The 26,680-nt window shown below is 60.6% G+C and overlaps 2 protein-coding genes, 1 long non-coding RNA gene and 3 other non-coding genes across 16 annotated transcripts in view, besides 10 other annotated features; 5 read left to right on the top strand and 1 right to left on the bottom strand.

Moving 5' to 3' along the window:
* Window positions 435-6,092, bottom strand: LOC124902041 (uncharacterized). The gene is made up of 2 exons (XR_007061145.1): window positions 6,003-6,092; window positions 435-5,426 (listed from the first exon to the last, which is right to left on the bottom strand). It is a non-coding gene; the product is annotated as an uncharacterized LOC124902041 (long non-coding RNA).
* On the top strand, window positions 3,204-7,634 carry SLC39A4 (solute carrier family 39 member 4). Of its 5 annotated transcripts, NM_130849.4 has the most exons (12): window positions 3,204-3,450; window positions 3,957-4,238; window positions 4,629-4,821; window positions 4,938-5,074; window positions 5,152-5,323; window positions 5,614-5,786; window positions 5,953-6,090; window positions 6,167-6,298; window positions 6,481-6,535; window positions 6,659-6,811; window positions 7,102-7,289; window positions 7,382-7,634. In NM_130849.4, exons 1-12 carry the CDS (start codon window positions 3,259-3,261, stop codon window positions 7,508-7,510), a joined length of 1,944 nt encoding a protein of 647 aa, NP_570901.3. In that variant the 5' UTR covers window positions 3,204-3,258; the 3' UTR covers window positions 7,511-7,634. The 5 variants fall into 5 exon arrangements, with proteins under 5 accessions (NP_570901.3, NP_001361768.1, XP_024302957.1 ...); NM_001374839.1 differs by lacking the exon at window positions 3,957-4,238; NM_017767.3 differs by lacking the exon at window positions 3,204-3,450 and having other exon boundaries at window positions 3,599-4,238.
* Window positions 5,348-6,165: an enhancer, noted in NCBI's record as "H3K27ac-H3K4me1 hESC enhancer chr8:145639267-145640084 (GRCh37/hg19 assembly coordinates)". NCBI's record gives its function as "activates a minimal SCP1, AML or CMV promoter by ChIP-STARR-seq in naive H9 embryonic stem cells {active_cell/tissue: H9 hESC(naive)}" and the evidence as "EXISTENCE:reporter gene assay evidence [ECO:0000049][PMID:30033119]".
* Window positions 6,107-6,526: a silencer, noted in NCBI's record as "silent region_19683". NCBI's record gives its function as "represses an Ori minimal core promoter by ATAC-STARR-seq in GM12878 lymphoblastoid cells {active_cell/tissue: GM12878}" and the evidence as "EXISTENCE:reporter gene assay evidence [ECO:0000049][PMID:35858748]".
* Window positions 6,107-6,588: a biological region, named in NCBI's record as "ReSE screen-validated silencer GRCh37_chr8:145638844-145639041".
* Window positions 6,391-6,588: a silencer, noted in NCBI's record as "fragment chr8:145638844-145639041 (GRCh37/hg19 assembly coordinates)". NCBI's record gives its function as "represses an EF-1alpha promoter that drives an FKBP-Casp9 reporter gene in an ReSE screen in HepG2 liver carcinoma cells {active_cell/tissue: HepG2}" and the evidence as "EXISTENCE:reporter gene assay evidence [ECO:0000049][PMID:32094911]".
* Window positions 6,707-6,756: an enhancer, noted in NCBI's record as "active region_28098". NCBI's record gives its function as "activates an Ori minimal core promoter by ATAC-STARR-seq in GM12878 lymphoblastoid cells {active_cell/tissue: GM12878}" and the evidence as "EXISTENCE:reporter gene assay evidence [ECO:0000049][PMID:35858748]".
* Window positions 6,977-7,086: a silencer, noted in NCBI's record as "silent region_19682". NCBI's record gives its function as "represses an Ori minimal core promoter by ATAC-STARR-seq in GM12878 lymphoblastoid cells {active_cell/tissue: GM12878}" and the evidence as "EXISTENCE:reporter gene assay evidence [ECO:0000049][PMID:35858748]".
* Window positions 10,247-10,906: a silencer, noted in NCBI's record as "silent region_19681". NCBI's record gives its function as "represses an Ori minimal core promoter by ATAC-STARR-seq in GM12878 lymphoblastoid cells {active_cell/tissue: GM12878}" and the evidence as "EXISTENCE:reporter gene assay evidence [ECO:0000049][PMID:35858748]".
* CPSF1 (cleavage and polyadenylation specific factor 1) overlaps window positions 10,713-26,680 on the top strand; it is a 16,105-nt gene continuing 137 nt past the window's right edge. The window contains exons 1-38 of one of the 7 annotated variants that reach the window (XM_047421733.1): window positions 10,850-11,033; window positions 14,215-14,218; window positions 17,169-17,181; window positions 18,375-18,402; window positions 18,485-18,618; window positions 18,757-18,837; window positions 18,973-19,124; window positions 19,231-19,377; window positions 19,555-19,694; window positions 19,772-19,882; window positions 19,963-20,056; window positions 20,180-20,267; window positions 20,338-20,460; window positions 20,545-20,596; window positions 20,675-20,772; window positions 20,846-20,920; window positions 21,010-21,090; window positions 21,180-21,269; window positions 21,410-21,523; window positions 21,605-21,746; window positions 21,916-22,094; window positions 22,169-22,305; window positions 22,387-22,561; window positions 22,635-22,841; window positions 23,119-23,208; window positions 23,307-23,450; window positions 23,548-23,700; window positions 24,497-24,613; window positions 24,693-24,783; window positions 24,866-24,950; window positions 25,025-25,166; window positions 25,252-25,404; window positions 25,493-25,669; window positions 25,748-25,814; window positions 25,888-25,935; window positions 26,010-26,165; window positions 26,252-26,381; window positions 26,458-26,596. In XM_047421733.1, coding sequence (XP_047277689.1) covers window positions 18,547-18,618; window positions 18,757-18,837; window positions 18,973-19,124; window positions 19,231-19,377; window positions 19,555-19,694; window positions 19,772-19,882; window positions 19,963-20,056; window positions 20,180-20,267; window positions 20,338-20,460; window positions 20,545-20,596; window positions 20,675-20,772; window positions 20,846-20,920; window positions 21,010-21,090; window positions 21,180-21,269; window positions 21,410-21,523; window positions 21,605-21,746; window positions 21,916-22,094; window positions 22,169-22,305; window positions 22,387-22,561; window positions 22,635-22,841; window positions 23,119-23,208; window positions 23,307-23,450; window positions 23,548-23,700; window positions 24,497-24,613; window positions 24,693-24,783; window positions 24,866-24,950; window positions 25,025-25,166; window positions 25,252-25,404; window positions 25,493-25,669; window positions 25,748-25,814; window positions 25,888-25,935; window positions 26,010-26,165; window positions 26,252-26,381; window positions 26,458-26,596 — 4,050 coding nt within the window. In that variant the 5' untranslated portion in view covers window positions 10,850-11,033; window positions 14,215-14,218; window positions 17,169-17,181; window positions 18,375-18,402; window positions 18,485-18,546. Of the gene's footprint in view, window positions 10,760-10,849; window positions 11,034-14,214; window positions 14,219-14,752; window positions 14,884-17,057; window positions 17,182-17,933; window positions 18,134-18,374; window positions 18,403-18,484; window positions 18,619-18,756; window positions 18,838-18,972; window positions 19,125-19,230; window positions 19,378-19,554; window positions 19,695-19,771; window positions 19,883-19,962; window positions 20,057-20,179; window positions 20,268-20,337; window positions 20,461-20,544; window positions 20,597-20,674; window positions 20,773-20,845; window positions 20,921-21,009; window positions 21,091-21,179; window positions 21,270-21,409; window positions 21,524-21,604; window positions 21,747-21,817; window positions 21,860-21,915; window positions 22,095-22,168; window positions 22,306-22,386; window positions 22,562-22,634; window positions 22,842-23,118; window positions 23,209-23,306; window positions 23,451-23,547; window positions 23,701-24,496; window positions 24,614-24,692; window positions 24,784-24,865; window positions 24,951-25,024; window positions 25,167-25,251; window positions 25,405-25,492; window positions 25,670-25,747; window positions 25,815-25,887; window positions 25,936-26,009; window positions 26,166-26,251; window positions 26,382-26,457; window positions 26,597-26,680 lie in introns of those variants that run through there. The other 6 variants (XM_006716548.3, NM_013291.3, XM_047421735.1 and 3 more) reach the window with 6 other exon arrangements.
* Window positions 11,177-11,226: an enhancer, noted in NCBI's record as "active region_28097". NCBI's record gives its function as "activates an Ori minimal core promoter by ATAC-STARR-seq in GM12878 lymphoblastoid cells {active_cell/tissue: GM12878}" and the evidence as "EXISTENCE:reporter gene assay evidence [ECO:0000049][PMID:35858748]".
* On the top strand, window positions 19,703-19,771 carry MIR6849 (microRNA 6849). The gene has a single exon (NR_106908.1). It is a non-coding gene; the product is annotated as a microRNA 6849 (primary transcript).
* Window positions 19,883-19,962, top strand: MIR1234 (microRNA 1234). The gene has a single exon (NR_031600.2). It is a non-coding gene; the product is annotated as a microRNA 1234 (primary transcript).
* Window positions 24,140-24,353: a silencer, noted in NCBI's record as "fragment chr8:145620910-145621123 (GRCh37/hg19 assembly coordinates)". NCBI's record gives its function as "represses an EF-1alpha promoter that drives an FKBP-Casp9 reporter gene in an ReSE screen in HepG2 liver carcinoma cells {active_cell/tissue: HepG2}" and the evidence as "EXISTENCE:reporter gene assay evidence [ECO:0000049][PMID:32094911]".
* Window positions 25,706-25,867: a silencer, noted in NCBI's record as "fragment chr8:145619396-145619557 (GRCh37/hg19 assembly coordinates)". NCBI's record gives its function as "represses an EF-1alpha promoter that drives an FKBP-Casp9 reporter gene in an ReSE screen in phorbol 12-myristate 13-acetate-treated (for megakaryocytic differentiation) K562 erythroleukemia cells {active_cell/tissue: K562(+PMA)}" and the evidence as "EXISTENCE:reporter gene assay evidence [ECO:0000049][PMID:32094911]".
* MIR939 (microRNA 939) lies at window positions 25,818-25,899 on the top strand. The gene has a single exon (NR_030635.1). It is a non-coding gene; the product is annotated as a microRNA 939 (primary transcript).

The following is a 26,680-nucleotide window of genomic DNA, read 5'->3' as shown; positions in this document are numbered from 1 at the left end:
AGTAAAGATGGGGTTTCTCCATGTTGGTCAGGCTGGTCTGGAACTCCCGACCTCAGGTGATCCGCCTGCCTTGGCCCTACAAAGTACTAGGATTACAGGCATGAGCCACTGGGTGCCAGGCATGTATTTTTTTTAACTTATTTAATTTTTTGTTTTTTTTTTTAGACAGAGTCTCGTTCTGTTGCCCAGGCTGGAATGCTATGGTGCGATCTCGGCTCACTGCAACCTCTGCCTTCCGGGTTCAAGCAGTTCTCCCGCCTTCGCCTCCTGAGTAGCTGGGATTACAGGCTCCTGCCACTATGCCCAGCTAAGTTTTGTACCTTTTAGTAGACAGGTTTTCACCATGTTGGCCAGGCTGGTCTTATACTCCCAACCTCAGGTGATCCGCCCGCCTTGGCCTCCCAAAGTACTGGGATTAGAGGTATGAGCCACTGTGCCCGGCCTGTATTTTTTTTATTTATTTTAAAATTTTTTGTTATTACTATTTTTGAGACAGAGTCTAGCTCTGTCGCCTAGGCTAGAGTGCAATGGCGTGATCTCAGCTCACTGTAACCTCTGCCTCCGGGGTTCAAGCAATTCTCCCGCCTCAGACTTCTGAGCAGCTGGGACCCCGCCACCATGCCTGGCTAATTTTTGTATTTTTTAGTAGAGATGGGGTTTCACCATGTTGGCTAGGCTGGTCTCGAAGTCCTGACCTTAGGTGATCTGCCCGCCTCGGCCTCCCAAAACCCTTTTACTTTCTGTCTCCATGAATTTGACTGGCTGGGGTCCTCACATCAGTCAGATCACACCGTCCTTGCCCTTTTGCGTCTGGCTGCTTTCGTTCATCACAGTCTCCTCCAGGTGCATCCAAGTCACGGTGCAGGCCGGTTTCCTTCCTTTTTCTGGCTGAATCGTGTTCCACTGTGGATGAACCACGATGTGTTCACTCATGCGCGTTTGGATACTTGAGTTGCTTCCATCTTTTGAATAGTGCTGCCATTGAACGTGGGCTTTTTTTTGTTGTTGTTTTTTTCTTTTTAGAGTCAGGGTCTTGCCAGGTTGCCCGGGCTGGAGTGCGTGATGCGATCGTGGCTCACTGCAGCCTCCACCTCCTGGGCTCAAGCAATTCTGCCTCAGCCTCCCGAGTCGCTGGGACTACAGGCACCCACCACCACTCAGGGTGCCTTAATTTGTTTTTGTGTTTTTAGTGGAGCTCGGGTTTCACCATGTTGCCCAGGCTGGTCTTAAACTCCTGACTTTAAGTGATCCCCCCGCCCCGGCCTCCCACAGCGCTGGGATTACAGGTGTGAGCCAGCGTGACCAGCCGGTGTTGTTTTTAAGATGGGCCAGTTGCAGTGAGCTTGTTGGATGACAGAGTGGGCCTGAGGGGCAGGAGAGTGCAACCCGTCTGCTCTGGGGAAGCCGGCCTTAGGCTGGGGCATGGGCAGGTGAAACCCTCAACAGCTGCTCCTGGGCTACGGAAGAGAGTTTCTGCTGGGAGGGGTGGGGTCACATGAATGGAGGGAATGGAGGAGGCCTGTAGCCCAGCACTGAGGCCTACTGGGGAGGCAGCTCAGGAAGGCCACAGAGTCAGGCCCAGGCCAAGACCTTTGCCCAGAAGCTAAAGTAGGCCCTTGAGCCTATTTTAGCATGGGTGGCCTCCAGCCAGCCCATTGGTCCTGGGGTGGTGTGGGAGGGAAAGGGCCAGTTTGGGTCCGCAGCATCTTCAGGCTGTGTGTAGAGCAGCCCCCTCATGGTCCTGGGACCCAGAAATCATCTGCACCCCCAGCAGGCTCTGCACCCCCGGCAGGATCTGCACCCCCGGCAGGCTCCCCTAAGGGCCCCCAGAAGGATACCACTGCGGGTGGGCCCAGCCAGAGGAGCACCATGAGATCCGCTTGGTGGGGTGAGGCCGGCAGGGGAAGCACCCTGACCCCAGGACACTGGGCTCAATGCCCGCCCTGCCCCGTCCCACCCTGTGTATGGCGGGACAGAGTCCTTGGGCCTCAGGCACCCAGCTCCCCACCCCAGCCCCACCCACAATGCTCAGGGTCAGGCTGGCTGGACCGGGCGGGAGGTGGCATCTGGACTCCCCCTTCAGAAGGCAAAGCTGCCCTGAGATCTGCCTTCCCCTTCCCCCAGACTTCCTGCCATCACCACCACGGTAGAGATAAGGCCTCTAGGCTCAAAGGCCAGAGAGGGAGCCCACAGAGAGGGCAGGGCTGGGAGCCACAGCCTCCCTGCCCCCGGGGCTAGAGCTGGGGTCTTGCCCCAATCTTATCCTGACCCAAGCTCGGCCAGGTGGCTGCCAGGGCCCAGCTCCGTCTTCCTGTTTGTCTGTGTTGGAGCTTCCTGGGGCTGTCTCCGGCCTAAGGGAGCATGATGCAGCAGGCACCTTTTCAGTTTCTTTGACTCCATCGCAGTCCCCAACAGGGACCACAGCCCAGGACCCAGGAGGAGGGAGGTCCATGTCCCCACCCCCAACAGGGGCCACCGAGGGTGTCTGGGCAGCCTCTGTTGGGAGGGGCAGAGGCAGGGACCTGGGAGCTCTCAGGCTCTGGGGGCATCTGTGCACCTCTGCCCTGTGTCCCCCAGCTTGGAGGCAGCCCCCAGATGGACAGCCAGAAGGGGACACCCCAGCCCTGCCCCACAGCTTGGGGGGCAGCAGGCAGAGGACAGAAGCCCACCCAGGCTGGCCTGGCGTGGTGAGCCACGCCGGTAATCCCAGCACTTTGGGAGGCCAAGGCGGGCGAATCACCTGAGGTTGGGAGTTCAAGACCAGCCTGACCAACATGGAGAAACACTGTCTCTACTAAAAATACAAAAGTAACCGGGCGTGGTGGCGCTGCCTGTAATCCCAGCTACTCGGGAGGCTGAGGCAGGAGAAGCACTTGAACCCGGGAGGCGGAGGTTGCCGTGAGCCAAGATCACGCCATTGCACTCCAGCCTGGGCAGCAAGAGCAAAACTCCAACTCGAAAAAAAAAAGACCACCGAGGCTGCCTGTCCAGGGGAAGGGGCCCAGCCCTCGACCCCCACAGGCAGTGGCTCCAGGCTGTTGGGGAGGATCTGCCACTGGAATGGTTAACCCAGGCATCTCCAGCAGCCAATCACAGAGCTCTGCAGGAATACCTGGGAGAGGTCCTCATGCAGCCCGGGCGGGTCCTAGCCCAGCCCCAGTCTGGCCCTGGACAACCCCAGCAAAGCCGCCCTCAGCCAGCCCAGAAGCACTGGGCCTTGGCCACAGCAACACCCACTGAGCACGCTGGGAGCTGAGTATGGCGTCCCTGGTCTCGCTGGAGCTGGGGCTGCTTCTGGCTGTGCTGGTGGTGACGGCGACGGCGTCCCCGCCTGCTGGTCTGCTGAGCCTGCTCACCTCTGGCCAGGGCGCTCTGGATCAAGAGGCTCTGGGCGGCCTGTTAAATACGCTGGCGGACCGTGTGCACTGCGCCAACGGGCCGTGTGGAAAGGTAACAGCCCCACCCGACGGGTCCCCCAGCCCTGGCCTCTTCCCGCCAGCTCCGCCCTGCCAGCCGGCAGCAAAGGGCCCTGGGCAAACTCCAGGAGGCGGAGGAGGCTAGTGGCAGTACCTGGGCACCCTGACCCTCCCCACAGGCCAGAGCCCACCCTCCTGCTCATGAGGGCAGACAGGCCTTTCCAGGGACACAGTCCCTCTTCTCCCCAGGACCCCAGGGCCAACTCCCCCTGCCGGCCCTCTGCCATCAAATTGGCAGTGGCTCCAGGGGAGTCCCCTGGGGATGGGGGACCACTGTTGGGGACCCCTCTGCGTGCACCCCTGTAGTTGGGGAAGCAGGACAGGGGCCTGGGGAGACGGAAGGGCGCCAGGGGTTGAGAGAGGATGGTGGACGTTGTTGGACTTGAAAGGGAAACAGGCCCTCGGGGAAGCCCCTGGCCAGGCCTGCCTCTCCCCTCCCTGGTGGGCCCAGCGCCCCTGCTCACTTGTCTCTGCCCACAGTGCCTGTCTGTGGAGGACGCCCTGGGCCTGGGCGAGCCTGAGGGGTCAGGGCTGCCCCCGGGCCCGGTCCTGGAGGCCAGGTACGTCGCCCGCCTCAGTGCCGCCGCCGTCCTGTACCTCAGCAACCCCGAGGGCACCTGTGAGGACGCTCGGGCTGGCCTCTGGGCCTCTCATGCAGACCACCTCCTGGCCCTGCTCGAGAGCCCCAAGGCCCTGACCCCGGGCCTGAGCTGGCTGCTGCAGAGGATGCAGGCCCGGGCTGCCGGCCAGACCCCCAAGATGGTGAGGGAGAGTCCAGGCAGACCAGGGGAGTGGGTGAGGAGGGTCCCACGGCCCATGGGACCCGGCCTGGCTGCAAAGCCTTCGGGGAGCCTGGGGGCCTGGGGAGACGCCCAGGAGTCGGCCTGCGGCTGGGGATTCACAACGTGGGGCTCACTACTGGGCAGTTGGGAGCCTGTAGGAGCCCCGGGAGGGACCTCATGAGGGAGGAACCCAGAGGCCTGAGTGGGAGCCTGAAGCAGCTGGGCCCGGCAGGGAGGGCTGTGGCTCCAGGGAGGGGCGGGGCTGGTGGGGGCAGATCCTGTAGTTGGGGTGGGAGATGCATCCAGGGGCAGCGGGGTGGATGGCAGAAGGTCACACCAAAGGCTGAGGCGGAGGCCCCCTCTTCCCCAGGCCTGCGTAGATATCCCTCAGCTGCTGGAGGAGGCGGTGGGGGCGGGGGCTCCGGGCAGTGCTGGCGGCGTCCTGGCTGCCCTGCTGGACCATGTCAGGAGCGGGTCTTGCTTCCACGCCTTGCCGAGCCCTCAGTACTTCGTGGACTTTGTGTTCCAGCAGCACAGCAGCGAGGTCCCTATGACGCTGGCCGGTGAGGCCTGGGCTGGGCTGTGGAGGGGGGCACCCCCGAGTCCCCAGCCTCCACGTCCCTGGGGGGCAGGGCCGGAGCCCACACAGACTCGCGGTGCCAACTCTTCTCCCTGCCAGAGCTGTCAGCCTTGATGCAGCGCCTGGGGGTGGGCAGGGAGGCCCACAGTGACCACAGTCATCGGCACAGGGGAGCCAGCAGCCGGGACCCTGTGCCCCTCATCAGCTCCAGCAACAGCTCCAGTGTGTGGGACACGGTGAGCTGCGCCCTGGGGTAAGATGGGGCCTCACCGGGGTCTGCTTGGGCCCCTGAGCCTGTCCTGCCACCCCCCAGGTATGCCTGAGTGCCAGGGACGTGATGGCTGCATATGGACTGTCGGAACAGGCTGGGGTGACCCCGGAGGCCTGGGCCCAACTGAGCCCTGCCCTGCTCCAACAGCAGCTGAGTGGAGCCTGCACCTCCCAGTCCAGGCCCCCCGTCCAGGACCAGCTCAGCCAGTCAGAGAGTGAGTGCCCACGCCGACATTGTGCTGGCAGCACAGAGGTGGAGCCCGTGTAGGAAGGAAGGAGTGGCTGCCCAGGATGAGGGATGGAGAGAGTGAGCAGGGGCTGGAAGTAGAAACAACAGACACAGGGGAAGGTGGCGTCGCCAGGAGAGTGGGGCTTTGAGGCAGGAGGGTCAGCCTGAGTGAGGGCCTGGCCCACACTGACGGCCTGCAGCTCTGGTGAGCAGCGCCCGGGAAGCAGGGGCTGAGTCTGGAAGAAAAGCTCTCACAGCCGCCTCACCCGCCCCCAGGGTATCTGTACGGCTCCCTGGCCACGCTGCTCATCTGCCTCTGCGCGGTCTTTGGCCTCCTGCTGCTGACCTGCACTGGCTGCAGGGGGGTCACCCACTACATCCTGCAGACCTTCCTGAGCCTGGCAGTGGGTGCAGTCACTGGGGACGCTGTCCTGCATCTGACGCCCAAGGTCTGCCCCCACAAACCCGCGACCCTGGCCCTCCGTTCCCCACCATGGACTCCCAGGCCGTGCCCTCCCAGGGACCTTACCCACCCCACCTCCTGACCCCTCTCCCTGGGTCTTGGTGGGAGGCGCCCTGGGACCTCCCCCCCAGCCCAGCGCCCCTACTCCCCAGGTGCTGGGGCTGCATACACACAGCGAAGAGGGCCTCAGCCCACAGCCCACCTGGCGCCTCCTGGCTATGCTGGCCGGGCTCTACGCCTTCTTCCTGTTTGAGAACCTCTTCAATCTCCTGCTGCCCAGGGACCCGGAGGTCAGGCTTCTTGGGAAGGTACCCGGCGGGTGGGTGTGCTGGGGGCCTGGTGGACACTGAGCACCTACCCTCACAGGACCTGGAGGACGGGCCCTGCGGCCACAGCAGCCATAGCCACGGGGGCCACAGCCACGGTGTGTCCCTGCAGCTGGCACCCAGCGAGCTCCGGCAGCCCAAGCCCCCCCACGAGGGCTCCCGCGCAGACCTGGTGAGTGGGCGCCAGATGCCCCATCCCACGCGGAGCCCCTCCCACCGACCCCTTCCCACGCCCACACTCCCAGCCCCACCCCAGGCCTGCGGCTCCGCCTCCCGCGGTGATCTGGGGCCCCGCCCCGCCCCACCGCGTTCCTCCTCCACTTCCGGGCGGGACTTACTCAAGGCTCCTCCCAGGTGGCGGAGGAGAGCCCGGAGCTGCTGAACCCTGAGCCCAGGAGACTGAGCCCAGGTGAGCCCAGGGGGCGACCCCGGAAGGGCTGGGGGATCTGGGGTTTGTGTGGAGCGCGGGTGGGGCCCAAGGCTTGGCGGTAGGCGACAGGCCACGCGAACCCACGGGCCTCTGCGCCCGCAGAGTTGAGGCTACTGCCCTATATGATCACTCTGGGCGACGCCGTGCACAACTTCGCCGACGGGCTGGCCGTGGGCGCCGCCTTCGCGTCCTCCTGGAAGACCGGGCTGGCCACCTCGCTGGCCGTGTTCTGCCACGAGTTGCCACACGAGCTGGGTGAGCGCAGGCGGGGCCTGGAAGGAGATGGGCGGGGCCGCACGGGGCTGGGAGGGGAGACCTGGAACAGGTGGGCGGGGCCTGGAAGATGGGCGGGGCCGCACCTGGCTGGGTGGGGAGACCGGAAACAGGTGGGGCGGGGCCTGGAAGGTGATGGGCGGGATCTGACGGCTGGGCGGGGAGACCGGGAACAGGTGGGCGGGGCCTGGTGGTAAGAGGGCGGGACCGAAAGGAGGTGGGCGGGGCATGTAGCTAGGAGGGCGGAGCTGTTAATGTGGACTCGCCCGCAGGGGACTTCGCCGCCTTGCTGCACGCGGGGCTGTCCGTGCGCCAAGCACTGCTGCTGAACCTGGCCTCCGCGCTCACGGCCTTCGCTGGTCTCTACGTGGCACTCGCGGTTGGAGTCAGCGAGGAGAGCGAGGCCTGGATCCTGGCAGTGGCCACCGGCCTGTTCCTCTACGTAGCACTCTGCGACATGGTCAGGATGGCGAGGGGAGGGGCTGCTCTGGGCCGGGAGCTGAGCAGAGGAGCTGAGCAGGGGCGCTGACCCGGTGCCCACTTGCTCCTCAGCTCCCGGCGATGTTGAAAGTACGGGACCCGCGGCCCTGGCTCCTCTTCCTGCTGCACAACGTGGGCCTGCTGGGCGGCTGGACCGTCCTGCTGCTGCTGTCCCTGTACGAGGATGACATCACCTTCTGATACCCTGCCCTAGTCCCCCACCTTTGACTTAAGATCCCACACCTCACAAACCTACAGCCCAGAAACCAGAAGCCCCTATAGAGGCCCCAGTCCCAACTCCAGTAAAGACACTCTTGTCCTTGGAGCATGGCTGTGCTCTCCTTGCTGGGTGGGAAGGGCCCTCAGCTGAGAAAGGACAATTGCGGCACTGCCTTCTCCCCATCGGGGTGCCTCGAAGCCAGGAGAGCTGCACTCAGGACCCCCAGGCAGCCAGCCTCAGGTGCCCCCTCTTTGATATGGAGACCCTGCCTGCCTGAGGAGTGGGGTCAGGGAAATTCACCCGGGTGTGTGGGCAGCAGGTGGGACCTGTCCCCAAACAGGAATCAAACTTGCTTACCTATAACTGCTTACACAGCCGAGGGCTTATTTCTCTGTCATGGAAAGCAAACCTGGAGATCGTCAGACCAGAGTGTGTGGCAGCCCACGGTTCCTGGGACGCCAGCCTCTTCTGACTCTGAGGCGTTAATCCTGAGTGCCTGTGTGGTGGCCTCCTAGGGCTACCTTAACAAAGCCTACCATAAACTGAGTGCCTTAAAACCAGAAACTTATTCTCACAGTTCTGGAGGCTGAAAGTTAGGAATCAAAGTGTCAGGAGAGCAATGCTCTCTCTGAAGTCTCTAGGAAACAGTCTGTTCCATGAGCCTTTCCTGGCTACTGGTGGCCCCAGGTGTTCCTTGGTTTGTGGGCAGTATGACTCCAATCCCTGCCTTTGTCTTCACATGACCTTCCCTCCCCTCCCCTCCCCTTTTCTTTTCTTTCTTCTTTTGAGACAGAGCTTCACTCTGTCGCCCCGGCTGGAGTACAGTGGCACCATCTCGGCTCACTGCAACCTCTGCCTCCCAGGTTCAAGCAATTCTGCATCAGCCTCCCGAGTAGCTGGGATTACAGGCACCCGCCACCACGCCCAGTTAATTTTTATATTTTTAGTAGGACGGGGTTTCACCATGTTGGCCAGGCTGGTCTCGATCTCCTGACCTCAGGTAATCCACCCACCTCGATCTCCCAAAGTGCTAGGATTACAGGTGTGAGCCATTGCGCCTGGCCCACATGACCTTCTTTCTTGTGTTTCTGTCTCTTCTGATTATTTTTATTGTATGTGACTCTTGTCACTCAGGCTGGAGTGCAATGACGCCATCTTGGCTCACTGCAACCTCTGCCTCCTGGGTTCAAGTGATTCTCCTGCCTCAGTCTCCTGAGTAGCTGGGATTACAGGCATGCGCCACCACCCTGGCTAATTTTTGAAGGGAGCCAGCCCCTCCACACCTGTGAGTATTTCTCATCAGGTGGGACGAGAGACTGAGAAAAGAAGACACACAGACGAAGTATAGGGAAAGAACAGTGGGCCCAGAGGACCCAGCATACGGAGGACCTGCATCAGCACCGGCCTCTGAGTTCCCACAGTATTGATCATTATTTTTACCATCTTAGCGAGGGGAGTGTAGCAGGGCAACAAGTGGGGAGAAGGTCAGCGCGGAAACATGTGAGCAAAGGAATCTGTATCATGAATAAGTTCAAGGAAAGGTACTGTGCCCGGATGTGCACGTAGGCTAAATTTATGTTTCTCTTTACCCAAACATGTCATTGTAGCAAAGAGTAACAGAGCAGCAGCGCTAGATTTATGTTTCTCTTTACCCAAACATCTCAGTGTAGGAAAGAGTAACAGAGCAGTATTGCTGCCAGCATTCTTGCTTCCAGGCAGTTTTCTCCTATCTCAGAATAGAACAAAAGGGAATGGTTGGCTTTACAATGAGACATTCCATTCCCAAAGACGAGCAGGAGACAGAAGGCTTCCTCTTATCTCAACTGCAAAGAGGCCTCCCTCTTTACGACTCCTCAGCACAGACCCTTTATAGGTGTTGGGCTGGGGGACGGTAAGGTCTTTCCTTTCCCATGAGGCCATATCTCAGGCTGTCTCAGTGGGGGGAAACCTTGGACAATTCCCAGGCTTTCTTGGGCAGAGGTCCCTGCGGCTTCCCGCAGTGCATTGTGTCCCTGGTTAATCGAGAATGAAGAATGGCGATAACTTTTACCAAGCATACTGCCTACAAACATATTAACAAGGCACATCCTGCATAGCCCTAAATCCATTAAACTTTGATTCATTACAGCACATGTTTCTGTGAGCACAGGGTTGGGGCTAAAGTTACAGGTTAACAGCATCTCAAAGCAAAAACAATTTTTCTTAGTACAGATCAAAATGGAGTTTCTTATGTCTTCCTTTTCTACATAGACACAGTAACAATCTGATCTCTCTCTCTTTCCCCCACAGTTTTTGTATTTTTAGTAGAGACTGGGTTTCACCATGTTGGCCAGGCTGGTCTCGAACTCCTGACCTCAGGTGATCCGCCCACCTCGGCCTTCCAAAGTGGGATTACAGGCGTGAGCCACCGCCTCCTATTGACTTTTAAAAGGCGGTTGAGTGTGGCTCAGGGGTCACACGCCTGAGCATCCAAGTGGCCCTTCCCCCACTGCCCAATGAGCAAGTAGATTTGGATGCAACAAAAACACATATTTCCACGCCATTTTCTTGGGCGTAACGATACTTTCTTGTTTTATTTCTCATGATTCCGTTTCTAGGTCCTAGGCCCGTGCCTGATCCAGGATCCAAGCTCCCGGAAGCTGGCACTGGGCCCGCCCTGGGTAGGCAGCAGTGAGCAAGGCGGGCGGACAGCGCTGGGCTCGCGGGGTCCTGCGTCCTCCGCGGGAGTGTTGGCGGCGGGGGTCGCTCTGCGCGGGGACACTGGGCAGAGGGGGCGTGCGGCCTCTCTAGGAAGCTTTCTCGGAGCCCCAGACACTGGCGAGGCGCCGCGCCCCCTCTTCTGGATTCCGGCGCGCCCCCTGAACCCGGGAGCTACGAGCGGAGTCGCTTCTCCCTGCAGCCGTCCTGGGTCTGGCGCGGACGCACCCCCCGGCCGACCCCGAGCCGCTGCAGCCGGCGCCCCTGCGGCTTCCAACCCGCGCTGCTCCGCCCGCAGCGGAGGCCCCGCACTTCGCGCGCTAGGGGTTTGGGTTCCGGACGCCCAGCCCGGAGCCGAGCCGCCAGCCGCCCGCATCCCGGGCCACTAGGGCCCGCTGTCGCCCCTGCAGCCACGCTCACGCGGCGGCGCTGCGCAGGCGCAGAAGCCCGGAACCTTCCCGCCCAGCTTCTGGGCCCGGCCGGACTGAGTTCGCTGCTGTCCCGGTTCCTCTCGAGTCGGCTCCAACTGCCAGGTGGGCGGCCGGGCGGGCGGCCGAGGCGGCAGCGCGAGGCCGGGGAGGGGCGCGGTGCGGGGCCGGGCTCCTGCGTGGGCGACCCCGCTCACCCTTCCTCTCCCGGCCTTGCGCAGCCCGGGTTGGCGCCATGTACGCCGTGTACAAACAGGCGCATCCGCCCACCGGTCTGGAGTTCTCCATGTACTGCAACTTCTTCAACAACAGCGAGCGCAACCTGGTAGTGGCCGGGACCTCGCAGCTCTACGTGTACCGCCTCAACCGCGACGCCGAGGTAGGTCGGGCCCTGGGAGCCCTCCCGGCTGTCCGCGACGTGGGTGCTCTCACCGCCCCCGGTTGCAGATGGAAGAGCCAAGCCCCAGACAAGTTGAGTGATTTGCTTAACGTTCCTCAGCCTGAGGAGCCAGGACATGACCCTGAATCTCTTGTGCTCAGATCCTTTCTCACAGCTGCTACCCTGTTCTGCCTCCCTTCCTACCCCACCGGGAAGGGCGCGCTGCCCTAGCCGTCTTGTTTGCTCTTCCGTTTTTTCAGCAAGTTGTTCGGAAGGAGCGAACGCCCACTGTGCGCTGGGTAGCAGAGATACCATGTGAACCACACCTGCAGACACTTGGGGAAGGGGAACATCTAAATAAACACACCTGCCCCTGCAGCAAGTGCTGCTGCGGGAATAAAGGAGTGAAGGAAGGAGACTGTGTATTTCCAGTCGCATGATCAGAAGAGCCTGTCTGAGGCAGAGCGGGAGTTTGTCGGGGGAAGGACATTGGTAGCACAAGGAACAAGGCCAGGTCTAGGATGGGGACAGACTGTTGACAGGAGTCTTGGTACAGTGGGGCACACGCCTCAAGGGTTTGGGAAATACAGTGGTGTTTTGGTTGCCGGAGGGTTGAAAGCTGGTCCAGGAAAGCAACTTGCAAGAGGCAGTTTCTCCATTGCTCTTGAAGGGAGGAGTACCTCTTACCCAGGCCCAGGGATGGTGAGAGGAGGGTGTTCCAGGCAGAAGAAACAGCCTGTGCACAGGCCCAAAGCAGTTGAGGGTGGAGAGACATGCACAGTGTGGCCGTGGTATAGACTGGATGTGGTGGTGGGGATGGAGGGAGGTAGGCCGTGGTCAGGACTATTCTCCACAAAGCAGGGAGGAGCCACAAGAGGGTTGTGAATAGGGGCTGACCCAGCAGGCAGATGGGTCAGAAGCTCAGGCCAAAGGAGGCCAACCCTCCTGGGCACCTACCCCGGCATACATATGTATTTGCTGGCCAGGGCTCCTGTCCTCTGAAGGCTTGACGAGGGCTGGAGTTTCTGCTCCTAACACACTATTGGCAGGAGGCCGCAGTTCCTCACCACATGGGCCCCTCCCTGGGGCAGCTCACAACATGGCAGCCTCCCTCACAATGAGACACCCACCAAGACTGAAGCCACGGCGAGTCCTGTAACCGAATCTCAGGCTGGGTGCACTGGCTCACACCTATAGTCCCACACTTTGGGAGGCTGAAGTGGGATGACTGCTTGAGGCCAGGAGTTCAGGACTGGCCTGAGCAACATAGCAAGACCCCATCTCTACAAATAATTTTTTTTTTTGTTTTTCCTGGTGAGACGGAGTCTTGCTGTGTCACTCAGGCTGGAATGAAGTGGTGTGATCTCAGCTAACTTTAACCTCCGCCTCGTGGGTTCAGGCAATTCTTGTGCCTCAGCTCCCTAAACCCTCCACCAAGTAGCTGGGATTACAGGTGTGTGACACCACGCCCGGCTAATTTTTTTTTTGTATTTTTAATAGAGACAGGGTTTCGCCACATTGGCCAGGCTGGTCTCAAACTCCTGAGCTCAGGCAGTCCACTCACCTTGGCCTTCCAAAGTGCTGGGATTACAGGAGTGCACCACTGTGCTTGGCCCAAATATAAAATATAAAAGTTAGCTGGGCATAGTGGCCTGTGTGTAGTCCTAGCTACATGGGAGGCCAGGGTGGGAGGATCGCTCAAGCCCAGGAGGTCAAGGCTGCAGTGAGCTATAATTGCACCATTACACTCCAGCCTGGACAACAGAGTGAGACCCTATCTCAAAAAAAAAAAAAAAAGGCCAGGCACGTTGGCTCACACCTATCATCTTAGCGCTTTGGGAGGCCGAGGCAGGTAGTAGATCACCTGAGGTCATGGGTTCGAGACCAGTCTGGCCAACGTGGCAAAACCCTGTGTCTACTAAAAATACAAAAATTAGCTGGGTGTGGTGGCAGGCATCTGTAATCCCAGCTACTCAGGAGGCTGAGGCAGGAGAATTGCTTGAACCCGTAGGCGGAGGTTGCAGTGAGCCGAGATTGCACTCCACTCCAGCCTGGGTGACAGAGCAAAACTCCATCTAAAAAAAAAAAGTAGTAGTAATACACTGTTAACCTTCTGTCATATTCTGCTGGTCATATCTACCAACCCTGGTGGGGGTTGCGGAGGGTGCAACACCTCCCAGCATTCACTGCAGAGGACATTGTGCTGCCTTGGATGCTGGCCACCGTAGATTGGCTGAGGTGCTCATTCCACATCAGGTAGCAGTGCAGAGCAGGAAGCGTTGTGCTGCCTTGGACGCTGGCCACCGTAGGTTGGCCGAGGTGCTCATTCCACATCAGGCAGCAGTGCAGAGCAGGAGGGTGTGTGCAAGAGTCTAGAATTGAGGATTGAGGTCTGGTATGGAGGTCAAGTCAGAGTCTTCAGCCTGGGGTTGGTGTCTGCCCTTGGAAACTGGTTGAGATCACCCAGAATATAGACAAAGACAGGGTCTTGGGGCACCCCAACATTGAGAGATTGGGGAGATGAGAGGCCATGAAAGAGCTGGAGGTGGCATGGCCTGGAAGGCAGGGGGAAAGCTGGACAGGGCCCTGGAGGCCCAGGGAAGGCAGCTGGGAGGGACTCGACACTGGGTCCCACGCTGTTGAGCCTCAGGTGATGCCTGGTGACTGACAGGGCAGTCTGGTGGGCACGAGGGGTTGTGGTCTGAATGGAGCAGGGGTAAGAGCCCAGCAGGGGAGGAGAGTCAGTAACAGTGAACACAGACAACTCTGGAGGAGATGTGCGTAAACTGAAGCAAGAAATGGAGCCATAAATAGCAGGAAAAGAGGTTTTCTTCTTCTGTTTTGTTTTTTGTTTTTAAGAAACGGGGTCTTGCTATGTTGTCCAGGCTGGCCTCGAACTCCTGTGCTCAAGCCATCCTCCTGGGGTCAGTCTAGTCGTGGCTCTGTAACTAACTGCCCTGGAATATGCAAACGAGGTCTTTTATCATAATCGCAGACCTGGAAGCCAGGTTTTCAGGGATTCATCAGAGTGTGGGGAGCCCTTGGCTCTCCTCCACCAGGGCAAGCCTTGACAGGGATGACTTGAAGAGCTGGGGACAGGCTAGATGTGTCTTCCCCTACCCCCACACCGTCCCTCCACTCTCCCCTGTCCCCAGCATGGCTAGCTTGGTTTTCCTGGCAGCATGGTGGTGTTGGTGTAGTTGAGCTTCTTGCAGGAACTCAGAGCCCTAGGAGGCTAAGGCAGAAGCTGCCAGTCACTTTAAGGGCTAGACCAGGAGGGCACCGTCCCTGCCACCACAGTCTGCCCTAAAGGCAGCCTCCAGCCCAGATTCACCTGGAGAGGGAGGGAGACAGCCACCTTTCATACAGCTGTCTTTTTTTTTTCTTTTTTGAGAGAGAGTCTCCCTCTGTCACCCAGGATAGAGTGCAACAGTGCGATCTCAGCTCACTGCAACCTCTGCCTCCCGGGTTCAAGCAGTTCTCCTGCCTCAACCTCCCGAGTAGCTGGGATTACAGGCGCCTGCCACCACACCCAGCTAATTTTTTGTATTTTTGGTAGAGATGGGGTTTCACCATGTTGGCCAGGCTGGTCTCGAACTCCTGACCTCAAGTGATCCACCCGCCTTGGCCTTCCAAAGTGCTGGGATTACAGGTGTGAGCCACGGAGCCCGGCCAAGACATTCCCAGGTGTTTAGATGAGACATTTGTATTTTTGACAGGAACACCACAGAAGAGGCAAACAGCAGCCCCATCAGCTTTCAGGAGGCGGCGGAGGCCTTTGCCTCATGACTGGATGCTGATGCTTTGATGCTTGGTTGGGTAGTGTTGGCCTGGATTCCCCCACTGTAAGGTTATTTCTTCCTTTTGTAACTAAAAGTATCTTGTAGGGACTTATTTTGAAACCCTGTAAACGTCCTCTTATTCAGATTTTCAAGGTTTTTTTTTCTTTCTTTCTTTCTCTTTTTTTTTTTAGACGGAGTCTCGCTCTATCACCCAGGCTGGAGTGCAGTGGCACAATCTCGGCTCACTGCAAGCTCCACCTCCTGGGTTCAAGCGATTCCCCTGCCTCAGCCTCCTGAGTAGCTGGGACTACAGGCGCCCGACTAATGTTTTTGTATTTTTAGTAGAGACGGGGTTTCACCGTGTTAGCCAGGATGGTCTCGATCGCCTGACCCCGTGATCCGCTTGCCTCAGCCTCCCAAAGTGCTGGGATTACAGGCGTGAGCCACCACGCCCAGCCTTTGGTCGCTATTTCTTTAGCTATTGATTCTGTCCCCTTTCCCCCAACATGCCAGTTAGACCATTTGACTATGTACACATTTTTCTTAAAATCCTTCTGAGTGGTGGCCGGGCGCAGTGGCTCACGCCTGTAATCCCAGCACTTTGGCAGGCCGAGGTGGGTGGATTGCCTGAGCTCAGGAGTTCAAGACCAGCCTGTCCAAGATGGTGAAACCCCGAGTCTACTAAAATACAAAAAAAAAAAAAATTAGGCGTGGTGGTGGGCGCTTGTAGTCCCAGCTACTCGGTAAGCTGAGGCAGGAGAATGGCTTGAACCTGGGAGGCAGAGCTTGCAGTAAGCCAAGATTGTGCCACTGCACTCTAGCCTGGCGACAGAGCAAGACTCCGTCTCAAAAAAAAAAAAAATTCTTCTGAGTGGTTACCCCTGTTTCTTGCATGTACACAGAAGTGCAGTTGATCTCTGTATATTGACCTTATACTTGGCAGAGTGGATCAGGCGTCCTTGGCTGGTCCTGACCAAGAGGGAAAACTTCTTTTTTTGTTTGTTTTTTTGAGACCAAGTCTCTCTCTTGTCCCCCAGGCTGGAGTGCAATGGCATGATCTTGGCTCACTGCAACCTCCGCCTCCCGGATTCAAGCGATTCTCCTGCCTTAGCCTCCTGAGTAGCTGGGACTACAGGCACCTGCCACCACACCCAGCTAATTTTTGTATTTTTAGTAGAGACGGGATTTCACTATGTCACCATGTTGGCTAGACTGGTCTCGAACTCCTTACCTCAGGTGATCCACCCACCTCGGCCTCCCAAAGTGCTGGGATTACAGGCGTGAGCCACTGTGCCCGGCCTCAAAAGGGAAAACTTGTAATGTTTCACTCCCAGCACCACATTGCTGTAGACTTTTTGTAGATACCCTTTATTTGATTAAGGAAGTTGGGCGCGGTGGCTCATGTCTATAATCCTTGCACTTTGGGAGGCCAAGGTGGGTGGATCACCTGAGGTCAGGGGTTCGAGACCATCCTGGCCAACATGGCAAAACCCTATCTATTAAAAATACAAAAATAGCCGGGCATGGTAGCACATGCCTGTAATCCCAGCTACTTGGGAGGCTGAGGCAGGAGAATTGCTTGAACCCAGGAGGCAGAGGTTGCAGGGAGCTGAGATCACACTACTGCCCTCCAGCCTGGGTGACAGAGTGAGACTCTGTCTCAAAATTTAAAAAAATAAATAAATTAGTCAGGTGTGGTGACTCACATGTGGTCCCAGCTACTCAGGAGGCTGAGGTGGGAGGATCACCTAAGCCCAGGAGGTCGAGGCTGCAGTGAAACATGATTGCTCCTCTGCACTCCAACCTGGGAGACAGTGAGGCCCTATGTCAAAAAACAAAGGCCTGGCGTGGTGGCTCATGCCTGTAATCCCAGCGCTTTGAGAGGCCGAGGTGAGTGTATCGCTTGAGGTCAGGGGTTGAAGACCAGCCTGGCCATGGCAAAACCCTGTCTGTACTAAAAATACAAAAATTAGCTGGACGTGGTGGTGGGCGCCTATAATCCCAGCTACTGAGGAGGCTGAGACAGGAGAATCGCTTGAACCTGGAAGGCAGAGGTTGCAGTGAGCCAAAATCACACCATTGCACTCCAGCCTGGGCAACAAAGTGAGACTCCATCTCAAAAAAAAAAAAAAAATTTTCCTCCTATTTTTGCTTTACTAGGAGTTTTTATCACGAATGCCTTTATCAGATGCTTTTTTTGTATCCACTAAAATGACATGATTTTTCTCCTTAATTTTGACAGCATGGTAAGTTTAGCGATGGCTGTTCTTGCGGAAATCTAGTTTTGCGTTCCTGGAATAACTCAACCCAGTTGTGTTACAATACCCCTGCTTGTCACTGGGCTCATCTGCAGGCGTTTTGAGGAGGTTGGTGTCACTTCCTGTCCCACCTGTCTGTGGGCTGTTGGGGTGGCCTGAGCCACCTGCGGTGCCGTCAGCCCCACATGAGTGGGTGTGTGTTTTTTTTTTAAGTGTGTCATTACTTCTGAAACCTTTGGTAGAATTTGCGGGTGAAGCCCTGGAGTTGCCCTTGTCGCTGTGAGATGGGTATTGGTTTGTGGATGCTTCTTCTGTATCTCTTAACCAGCTTCCAAGATGCCCTCCCCATAGCACAAGTCCATCGTGAAAAATGACCTTGAGGTGGCTCACGCCTGTAATCCCAGCACTTTGGGAGGCTAAGGTGGGCGGATCACCTGAGGTCAGGAGTTCGAGACCAGCCTGGCCAACATGGTGAAACCCTGTCTCTACTAAAAATACAAAAATTAGCCGGACATGGTGGCACGCACCTGTAATCCCAGCTACTTGGGAGGCTGAGGCAGAATCACTTGAACCCGGGAGGCAGAGGTTGCAGTGAGCCAAGATCACGCCACTGCACTTCAGCCTGGGTGACAGAGTGAGACTCCGTCTCAAAAACAAAAAACAAAAAACAAAAAAAAACAAAACAAAAACCACTTTTCCCTTGCCTTGAGGCAATGGCATATAAATCTGCTAGCTAGTTAAACTAGCTACCTAGTAGCAAAGAACACACAGCCTCTTATCATTCTGGGAGGGCAGTGAAAAGGGAGGAGATAGAGAGGCAGCCTGGGGGAGCCCGAGGCGTCAGGATAGCGCAGGGCTTCCTCTTCTCTAACAGGCACGCAGATCAGTAGCTACAGATACCCCTTGGCTCTGGCTTCCTGCCCTGTGACATTTGGACCCAGGGGCCGGGGCTGGGCTGCTGTAGGTGTGCAACCAGGCAGGTTTGGGGGTGTGCAGACACAGAGTGCACTCTAACCCTGAGTGCTTGCCGCACAGGGCCTGGCTGCTAGGGAGCCGTGAGGTAGGGGCTTCCTGGGGAGGGGCCTGTGCCAGGGCTGGGCCGTGGGCATGAGAGCGTGAATGGGGGTCGCTGTGGGGGGCTGTGCACAGCTGTCTCCAGAAGCCCTTCTCCCTGCTGCAGAGAGGGTTTGGGCAGAGCTCCCAGGAGGCAGGGGCCAGGCTTGGTGGTCTTTTCTCGTTCCCCGGATGAGGTGAGCTGCCAGATGTGGCCCCTCACTGCCCTGTCTTTCTCTCCCCTCCAGGCTCTGACCAAGAATGACAGGAGCACAGGTGAGTGTGGTGGGGCGGCCTGGGGCTGTGCGGGTGCCAGGCATGGCTGGGCCCTGACCCTGAGCCCTGGTGTCTCCCCTAGAGGGGAAGGCCCACCGGGAGAAGCTCGAGCTTGCTGCCTCCTTCTCCTTCTTTGGCAACGTCATGTCCATGGCCAGCGTGCAGCTGGCAGGAGCCAAGCGGGATGCCCTGCTCCTAAGCTTCAAGGATGCCAAGGTGAGTGGTAGGCTTGGTGGGGTAGGCCTGGCCAAGGCGTGGGAGTGGGTGCCAGGGCCTGGGTACAGCCGTTGGTTGCCGGGGGCGACACTGTCAGGACCGGCAGTCGGCAGCCACGGCTGTGCCCTCTGACCGCAGCTGTCTGTGGTGGAGTACGACCCGGGCACCCATGACCTGAAGACCCTGTCACTGCACTACTTTGAGGAGCCTGAGCTTCGGGTAGGGCCGCGCTCCCGCCCCCGCCCAGGCCCCGCCCAGCCACCCTCCCTCCCCCTGCAGCTGGGTTCTGTGGCCCCAAGTGTTTCCCTCGGGGTCTCCTATGCTGGGCCTGGCTGATGCCCCCTCTGCCCCCAGGACGGGTTTGTGCAGAATGTACACACGCCGCGAGTGCGGGTGGACCCCGACGGGCGCTGTGCAGCCATGCTTGTCTACGGCACGCGGCTGGTGGTCCTGCCCTTCCGCAGGGAGAGCCTGGCTGAGGAGCACGAGGGGCTCGTGGGTGAGGGGTGAGTGCCAGCTGAGGCAGGCTGTGGTGCTGGGGTGGGAGGCGCCAGAGCCCGAGCTCCCCTCCCCGCCTCCCCTCCTCTCCTGCTGAAGCCCCTGGCCCCCCAGGCAGAGGTCCAGCTTCCTGCCCAGCTACATCATCGACGTGCGGGCCCTAGACGAGAAGCTGCTCAACATCATCGACCTGCAGTTCCTGCATGGCTACTACGAGCCTACCCTCCTCATCCTGTTTGAGCCCAACCAGACCTGGCCTGGGTGAGCCCCCTAAGGAGGCCCCTCTGCACTGTGGGCCCCCTAGCTGCCTCTGCCTGGGGTGGGGCCCATGGGGTTTAGGGCGGGGCCTATGGGGTGTGGTGGGGCTTGCTCGGGAGGAGCTGGGCCTGGGTCTCTGCGGGGAGGCAAGGCCCTTGGCTGACCCACTGGCGTCCCCAGGCGCGTGGCCGTGCGGCAGGACACGTGCTCCATTGTGGCCATCTCACTGAACATCACGCAGAAGGTGCACCCCGTCATCTGGTCCCTCACCAGCCTGCCCTTTGACTGCACCCAGGCTCTGGCTGTGCCCAAGCCCATAGGTGTGTGTCCTGGGAGTGGATAGGGGAGTGTGTGGAGAGAGCACTGAGCCTGCCCACCAGCCTGTGTCCACCTCCAGGTGGGGTGGTGGTGTTTGCCGTCAACTCGCTGTTGTACCTGAACCAGAGCGTCCCCCCGTATGGCGTGGCTCTCAACAGCCTCACCACAGGAACCACGGCTTTCCCGCTTCGTGAGTGTGGGGTGGCTGGGGCGGGGGGGGCCCGGGGACGGCTTGGGCCTGCCTAGTCGGCCTGACCACCCACCCCACAGGCACCCAGGAGGGTGTGCGGATCACCCTGGACTGCGCCCAGGCCACCTTCATCTCCTACGACAAGATGGTCATCTCCCTCAAGGGCGGCGAGATGTGAGCCCCTCCCCCGCCCATGAACTCTGCCCACACCGCCCCCCACAAGTCCTGTAGGGTCCCCTGGCCCCCTTCACTCCCCCAGGGTCCCCATCCCCGACTCAGAATTCTCCCTGCCCCCAGCTACGTGCTGACCCTCATCACCGACGGCATGCGCAGTGTCCGAGCGTTCCACTTTGACAAGGCGGCCGCCAGCGTCCTCACCACCAGCGTGAGTTGGGACTAGGGGTTGGGTCTGGGTCCAGACCCGGCCCAGCCATCACACACCTGCCCTCCCTCAGATGGTCACCATGGAGCCCGGGTACCTGTTCCTGGGTTCTCGCCTGGGCAATTCCCTCCTCCTCAAGTACACGGAGAAGCTGCAGGAGCCCCCGGCCAGTGCTGTCCGTGAGGCTGCCGACAAGGTGGGTTTCCTGGGCCCATTGGGCCACCACCCTTCATGTGGGCACTGCTGTGGCATGCCACTCAGTGCCCCTCCTGCCTCACAGGAAGAGCCTCCCTCAAAGAAGAAGCGAGTGGATGCGACGGCCGGCTGGTCAGGTGAGGGCCGGTCCAGGGCTGGTCAGGAGCGGGGCCAGGTGACCCAGGGCTGCGCTCAAGTGGGCTCTCTGTGTGCAGCTGCGGGTAAGTCGGTGCCGCAGGATGAGGTGGACGAGATTGAAGTGTACGGCAGCGAGGCCCAGTCGGGAACACAGCTGGCCACCTACTCCTTTGAGGTGAGATTGAGGCAGCAGGGCCCCCGTCCCAGCCAGCGCCCCCAGCGGGCCCCTGACTCTTGCTGTGCCGCAGGTGTGTGACAGCATCCTGAACATTGGACCCTGTGCCAATGCCGCCGTGGGCGAGCCTGCCTTCCTCTCTGAAGAGGTGCCCAGGGTTGGGGTCGGGGCTGGGGGCAGGGGCTGGAGTGTGAGGGGGGGTGGGGGGCATAGTCCTCACCCCCGAGTCCTGTGCAGTTTCAGAACAGCCCCGAGCCGGACCTGGAGATTGTGGTTTGCTCCGGCCACGGGAAGAACGGGGCTTTGTCGGTGCTGCAGGTGTGTGGGCAGGTAGGGGGCGGGCGCCTCCTGGTGGGACCTGGGTGGGCTCACACCCCCATCACACCCCCACCCCATCATCATTCTAGAAGAGCATCCGGCCCCAGGTGGTGACAACCTTTGAGCTTCCCGGCTGCTATGACATGTGGACAGTCATCGCCCCGGTGCGTAAGGAGGAGGTAGGTGCGAGCCTGCTGCAGGGAGGCCCTGGGATGGGACCGGCGCTGCCTTCTCATAGGCCGGGGGTGCCCAGGTCGCACCTGCGTGCCTGCCTTCACTGGACTGTGGCTTCCAGCCTGCCCCCCTTTGGCCCTGACAGGAGGACAATCCCAAGGGGGAGGGCACAGAGCAGGAACCCAGCACCACCCCTGAAGCAGACGACGACGGCCGCAGACACGGATTCCTGATTCTGAGCCGGGAAGACTCCACCATGGTGAGGGGCAGGGCCTGGGACCTGGGACCTGGGGCTGGGGTCCCCTGCGGGGGGCGCCTCCCTCACAGCTGTCGCCCGCAGATCCTGCAGACGGGGCAGGAGATCATGGAGCTGGACACCAGTGGCTTCGCCACTCAGGGCCCCACGGTCTTTGCTGGGAACATCGGGGACAACCGCTACATTGTCCAAGTGTCACCACTGGGCATCCGCCTGCTGGAAGGAGGTAGGTGGGGGGGGTGGTTGGGCCCTGGGCATCTGCCTGCTGGAAGGAGGTAGGTGGGTGGGGACGGTGGGGGGGAGGTGGTTGGGCCCTGGGCATCCGCCTGCTGGAAGGAGGTAGGTGGGTGGGGACGGTGGTGGGGAGGCGCATGCTGACTGCCCCATGCCTACAGTGAATCAGCTGCACTTCATCCCCGTGGACCTGGGCGCCCCCATCGTGCAGTGCGCCGTGGCCGACCCCTATGTGGTCATCATGAGTGCCGAGGGCCACGTCACCATGTTCCTGCTGAAGAGTGACTCCTACGGTGGCCGCCACCACCGCCTGGCGCTGCACAAGCCCCCGCTGCACCATGTAGGCCCCCTCATTCCCGGCGCCCTCCTGTCCCTGCCCCTTGCCCGCCGCTGAGCCCACCCCTCTCCCCGCAGCAGTCCAAGGTGATTACGCTGTGCCTGTACCGAGACCTCAGCGGCATGTTCACCACTGAGAGCCGCCTGGGTGGGGCCCGTGACGAGCTCGGGGGCCGCAGTGGCCCGGAGGCCGAGGGCCTGGGCTCAGAGACTAGGTGCGTGGGGGCTGGGGGCGCAGGTAGGGGCTTGGGTCCCTGGGGCTGGCAGGCCGCCCATGACCTTCTGCTGGCCCCCAGCCCCACAGTGGATGACGAGGAGGAGATGCTGTATGGGGATTCGGGCTCCCTCTTCAGCCCCAGCAAGGAGGAGGCCCGAAGAAGCAGCCAGCCCCCTGCTGACCGGGACCCTGCACCCTTCCGGGCAGAGCCTACCCACTGGTGCCTGCTGGTGCGGGAGAATGGCACCATGGAGGTAGGTGGTGCCCTGCACTGTGGCCCAGCGGGTTCCACCCACCTGCCTCCACTGACTGCTGCCCACCCTGCAGATCTACCAGCTTCCCGACTGGCGGCTGGTGTTCCTGGTGAAGAACTTCCCTGTGGGGCAGCGGGTCCTTGTGGACAGCTCCTTTGGACAGCCCACTACACAGGGCGAGGCCCGCAGGGAGGAGGCCACGCGCCAGGGGGAGCTGCCCCTCGTCAAGGAGGTGCTGCTGGTGGCGCTGGGCAGCCGCCAGAGCAGGCCCTACCTGCTGGTGAGTGCGCCTGGCCTGGCCTCCCCTTCCCATCTTCCCCCTGGCCCTGCCCGTTCCCCCACAGCCCCGCCCCTTCCCGTGGCTCCACCCCATCTCCCCCACGGCCCCGCCCCTTCCCGTGGCTCCACCCCATCTCCCTCACAGCCCCGCCCCTTCCCATACATGGCTCCACCCCATCTCAGCCCCGCCCCTTACCCACAGCCCACCTCTTCCCATGGCCCATCCCATGTTCTCCATGGCCCTGCCCGTTCCCCCATGGCTCCCCTCATCCTGCCAGGTGCATGTGGACCAAGAGCTGCTTATCTACGAGGCCTTCCCCCACGACTCTCAGCTCGGCCAGGGCAATCTCAAAGTCCGCTTTAAGAAGGTGCCAGTGGCTGGACTGCTGGGGCGTGGGGTGGGTGTGGTACAAGGTGTGGGTTTCAGACCGGCAGCCCCTGGAGGACCTGCATGGTTCCCCCCCAGGTCCCTCACAACATCAACTTCCGTGAGAAGAAGCCAAAGCCATCCAAGAAGAAAGCAGAAGGTGGCGGCGCAGAGGAGGGGGCTGGGGCCCGGGGCCGCGTGGCGCGTTTCCGCTACTTCGAGGATATTTATGGCTACTCAGGGGTAGGCCAGCGCCTTTGCAGGGGTCTGTGGTAGAAGGGAGACGCGGCCTCATCCGCAGCATCCTCATCCACAGCATCCTCACGGTGCCTGCCCCCAGGTCTTCATCTGCGGCCCCTCCCCTCACTGGCTCTTGGTGACCGGCCGAGGGGCTCTGCGGCTACACCCCATGGCCATCGACGGCCCGGTCGACTCTTTCGCTCCATTCCACAATGTCAACTGTCCCCGCGGCTTCCTGTACTTCAACAGACAGGTGGGGCCCGGCCGGTTCCCAGCAGCACTGGCTGATGCTGCCCCAGCTGGGGGCTGAGGGGGAGGGGACAGGAGAAGGGACCATTGGCTCCACCCTGAGGACCAGGAAGGAGTGTCCAGAGGGCGATGGGGTTGAGGTCGAGGAGGTGGAACCTGTGACTTGGTTGCTCCAAAGGTCTGGAAAGGGGTGGTTGGGAGCTGGGGCTGCAGCCCCTGGGGTCCCCACCACTGCTCTGCCGGCTCGCCGGGCAAGCCCTCGCAGGGCCTGGCCTCCACACTTCTCAGGAGAGCTGACGTGAGTGCTAGCTCTGCCCCTTGGCTGCTCTGTGACTTTGGGAGGGCACACAGGCTTTCTCATCCTGGTTCCCTATTTAAGCCACCACACCACCAGGTCACTTGAGACCCTGCCTGGGATGCGGTGAGTGCTTCCTGGGTGCCTGAGGACTCAGGACTGTCCATGAAAGAGGGCAGCCCTGGCTCCCTCTGCCTGGTTTTCAGTCCCCAGCATGGCAGTCTGTGGGCTGCCCTTTGCAGCCTCCAGTGCCCTCCTGGCCTAGCTTTCCCATCCCCTGTGGCCAGCACCCCTAGCCCCAGCTGAGCGTGGGAAAATGGACAGGAGGAGCCCCAGAGGCTGAGTGGCAGCCCCTTCCAGGACCTCGCCAGGACACAGCTGCCCCTCACCCACCCCTGCTCCCACAGAGCTGAGGGCAACATCCCAGGGCTCTTGGCGGCCTGGGCCTGCCTGCCCCTGCCCTTGGCTAGCCCTGGATCCCCTGACCCCTGTGCCCCCACCCCAGGGCGAGCTGAGGATCAGTGTCCTGCCTGCCTACCTGTCCTATGATGCCCCATGGCCTGTCAGGAAGATCCCGCTGCGCTGCACGGCCCACTATGTGGCTTACCACGTGGAGTCTAAGGTCTGCCCCCACCCCCACCCCACCAGGGACCTTCTGGGCCTGGCCGGGCCACTGGTGTGTGACCCTCACTAACCCACAGGTGTATGCTGTGGCCACCAGCACCAACACGCCGTGTGCCCGCATCCCACGCATGACTGGCGAGGAGAAGGAGTTTGAGACCATCGAGAGAGGTGGTGACGCCCACACCATACTCCCATCCTCAGCCGCATCTTGGGGAAGCCCTACTCTGACTGTCACCCTTGGTCCCCACAGATGAGCGGTACATCCACCCCCAGCAGGAGGCCTTCTCCATCCAGCTCATCTCCCCGGTCAGCTGGGAGGCTATTCCCAATGCCAGGTGAGGCTGGGCCGGCGGGGGTGGGGTCTGCCCAAGGCCTCCAGGCAGCATCCTGAGGCCCCTGGCCCCCACAGGATCGAGCTGCAGGAGTGGGAGCATGTGACCTGCATGAAGACAGTGTCTCTGCGCAGTGAGGAGACCGTGTCGGGCCTCAAAGGCTACGTGGCCGCCGGGACCTGCCTCATGCAGGGGGAGGAGGTCACGTGCCGAGGGCGGGTAAGGGGCCAGTGAGCGGGGGCGGGAACTGGCAGCCCCTCTGCCATCCCCACAGCCATCCCACAGCCATACCCATGCCCTCCAGATCTTGATCATGGATGTGATTGAGGTGGTGCCCGAGCCTGGCCAGCCCTTGACCAAGAACAAGTTCAAAGTCCTTTACGAGAAGGAGCAGAAGGGGCCCGTGACCGCCCTGTGCCACTGCAATGGCCACCTGGTGTCGGCCATCGGCCAGAAGGTGTGCCAGTCCCACCCGGCGTGTGTCCCCCGGCTCACCCTCACCCGGCTCCCCGTCCGCGCCCGCTCACCCTCGCCCTCGCCCCCAGATTTTCCTGTGGAGCCTGCGGGCCAGCGAGCTGACGGGCATGGCCTTCATCGACACGCAGCTCTACATACACCAGATGATCAGCGTCAAGAACTTCATCCTGGCAGCCGACGTCATGAAGAGCATTTCGCTGCTGCGCTACCAGGAGGAAAGCAAGACGCTGAGCCTGGTGTCGCGGGTACACCTGTGGCGGCGGTGCTCGTGTCTGGGTGGGTACCCGCCCAAGGCACCTCTGACGCCCCCTTCCCGCCCCCAGGATGCCAAGCCCCTGGAGGTGTACAGCGTGGACTTCATGGTGGACAATGCCCAGCTGGGTTTTCTGGGTATGTGGGCAGGGCCCTGGGGAGCTGAGGCTCTGGGGGTGGCCGGGGCTGACCCTGGGCCTCTGCTCCCCAGTGTCTGACCGCGACCGCAACCTCATGGTGTACATGTACCTGCCCGAAGGTGAGTGCTTCCTCCACCCCCTCTGCCTGGGCCGGGGCTGGGCTAGCAGTGACCCCTAGGCCTTTCTGGTCTAGCCAAGGAGAGTTTCGGGGGCATGCGCCTGCTGCGTCGGGCAGACTTCCACGTGGGTGCCCACGTGAACACGTTCTGGAGGACCCCGTGCCGGGGGGCCACTGAAGGGCTCAGCAAAAAGTCGGTCGTGTGGGAGAATAAGCACATCACGTGGTTTGGTGAGTGTGGGGGAGCAGGTGTGTCTGGGTGGGGGGCCCTAGGGTTGGCCTGGCTCACACCAAAACCCTCACCCTACCCCTGCCAGCCACCCTGGACGGCGGCATCGGGCTGCTGCTGCCCATGCAGGAGAAGACCTACCGGCGGCTGCTGATGCTGCAGAACGCGCTGACCACCATGCTGCCACACCACGCCGGCCTCAACCCCCGCGCCTTCCGGTGAGCCCCGGCCCCGCCCCCGTGCAGCACCCCCTCCACCCCAGCCTGCCCTGACACCTGTGCCTGTACGCCCCAGGATGCTGCACGTGGACCGCCGCACCCTCCAGAATGCCGTGCGCAACGTGCTGGATGGGGAGCTGCTCAACCGCTACCTGTACCTGAGCACCATGGAGCGCAGCGAGCTAGCCAAGAAGATCGGCACCACACCAGACATAGTGAGTGCGCGCCCCGCCCCCCGCGCGCCCCGCCCCTCCGTGTGCATCCCCACCCACCCACCCACCCACCCTTCCATCCCCTGC

The sequence above is a fragment of the Homo sapiens genome, chromosome 8 (assembly GCF_000001405.40).
Source record: "Homo sapiens chromosome 8, GRCh38.p14 Primary Assembly".
In the NCBI taxonomy this organism is placed as follows: Eukaryota; Metazoa; Chordata; class Mammalia; order Primates; family Hominidae; genus Homo; species Homo sapiens.
The sequence above is the reverse complement of the archived record's forward strand: the minus strand, read 5'-3'. Positions and strand labels throughout refer to the sequence as shown.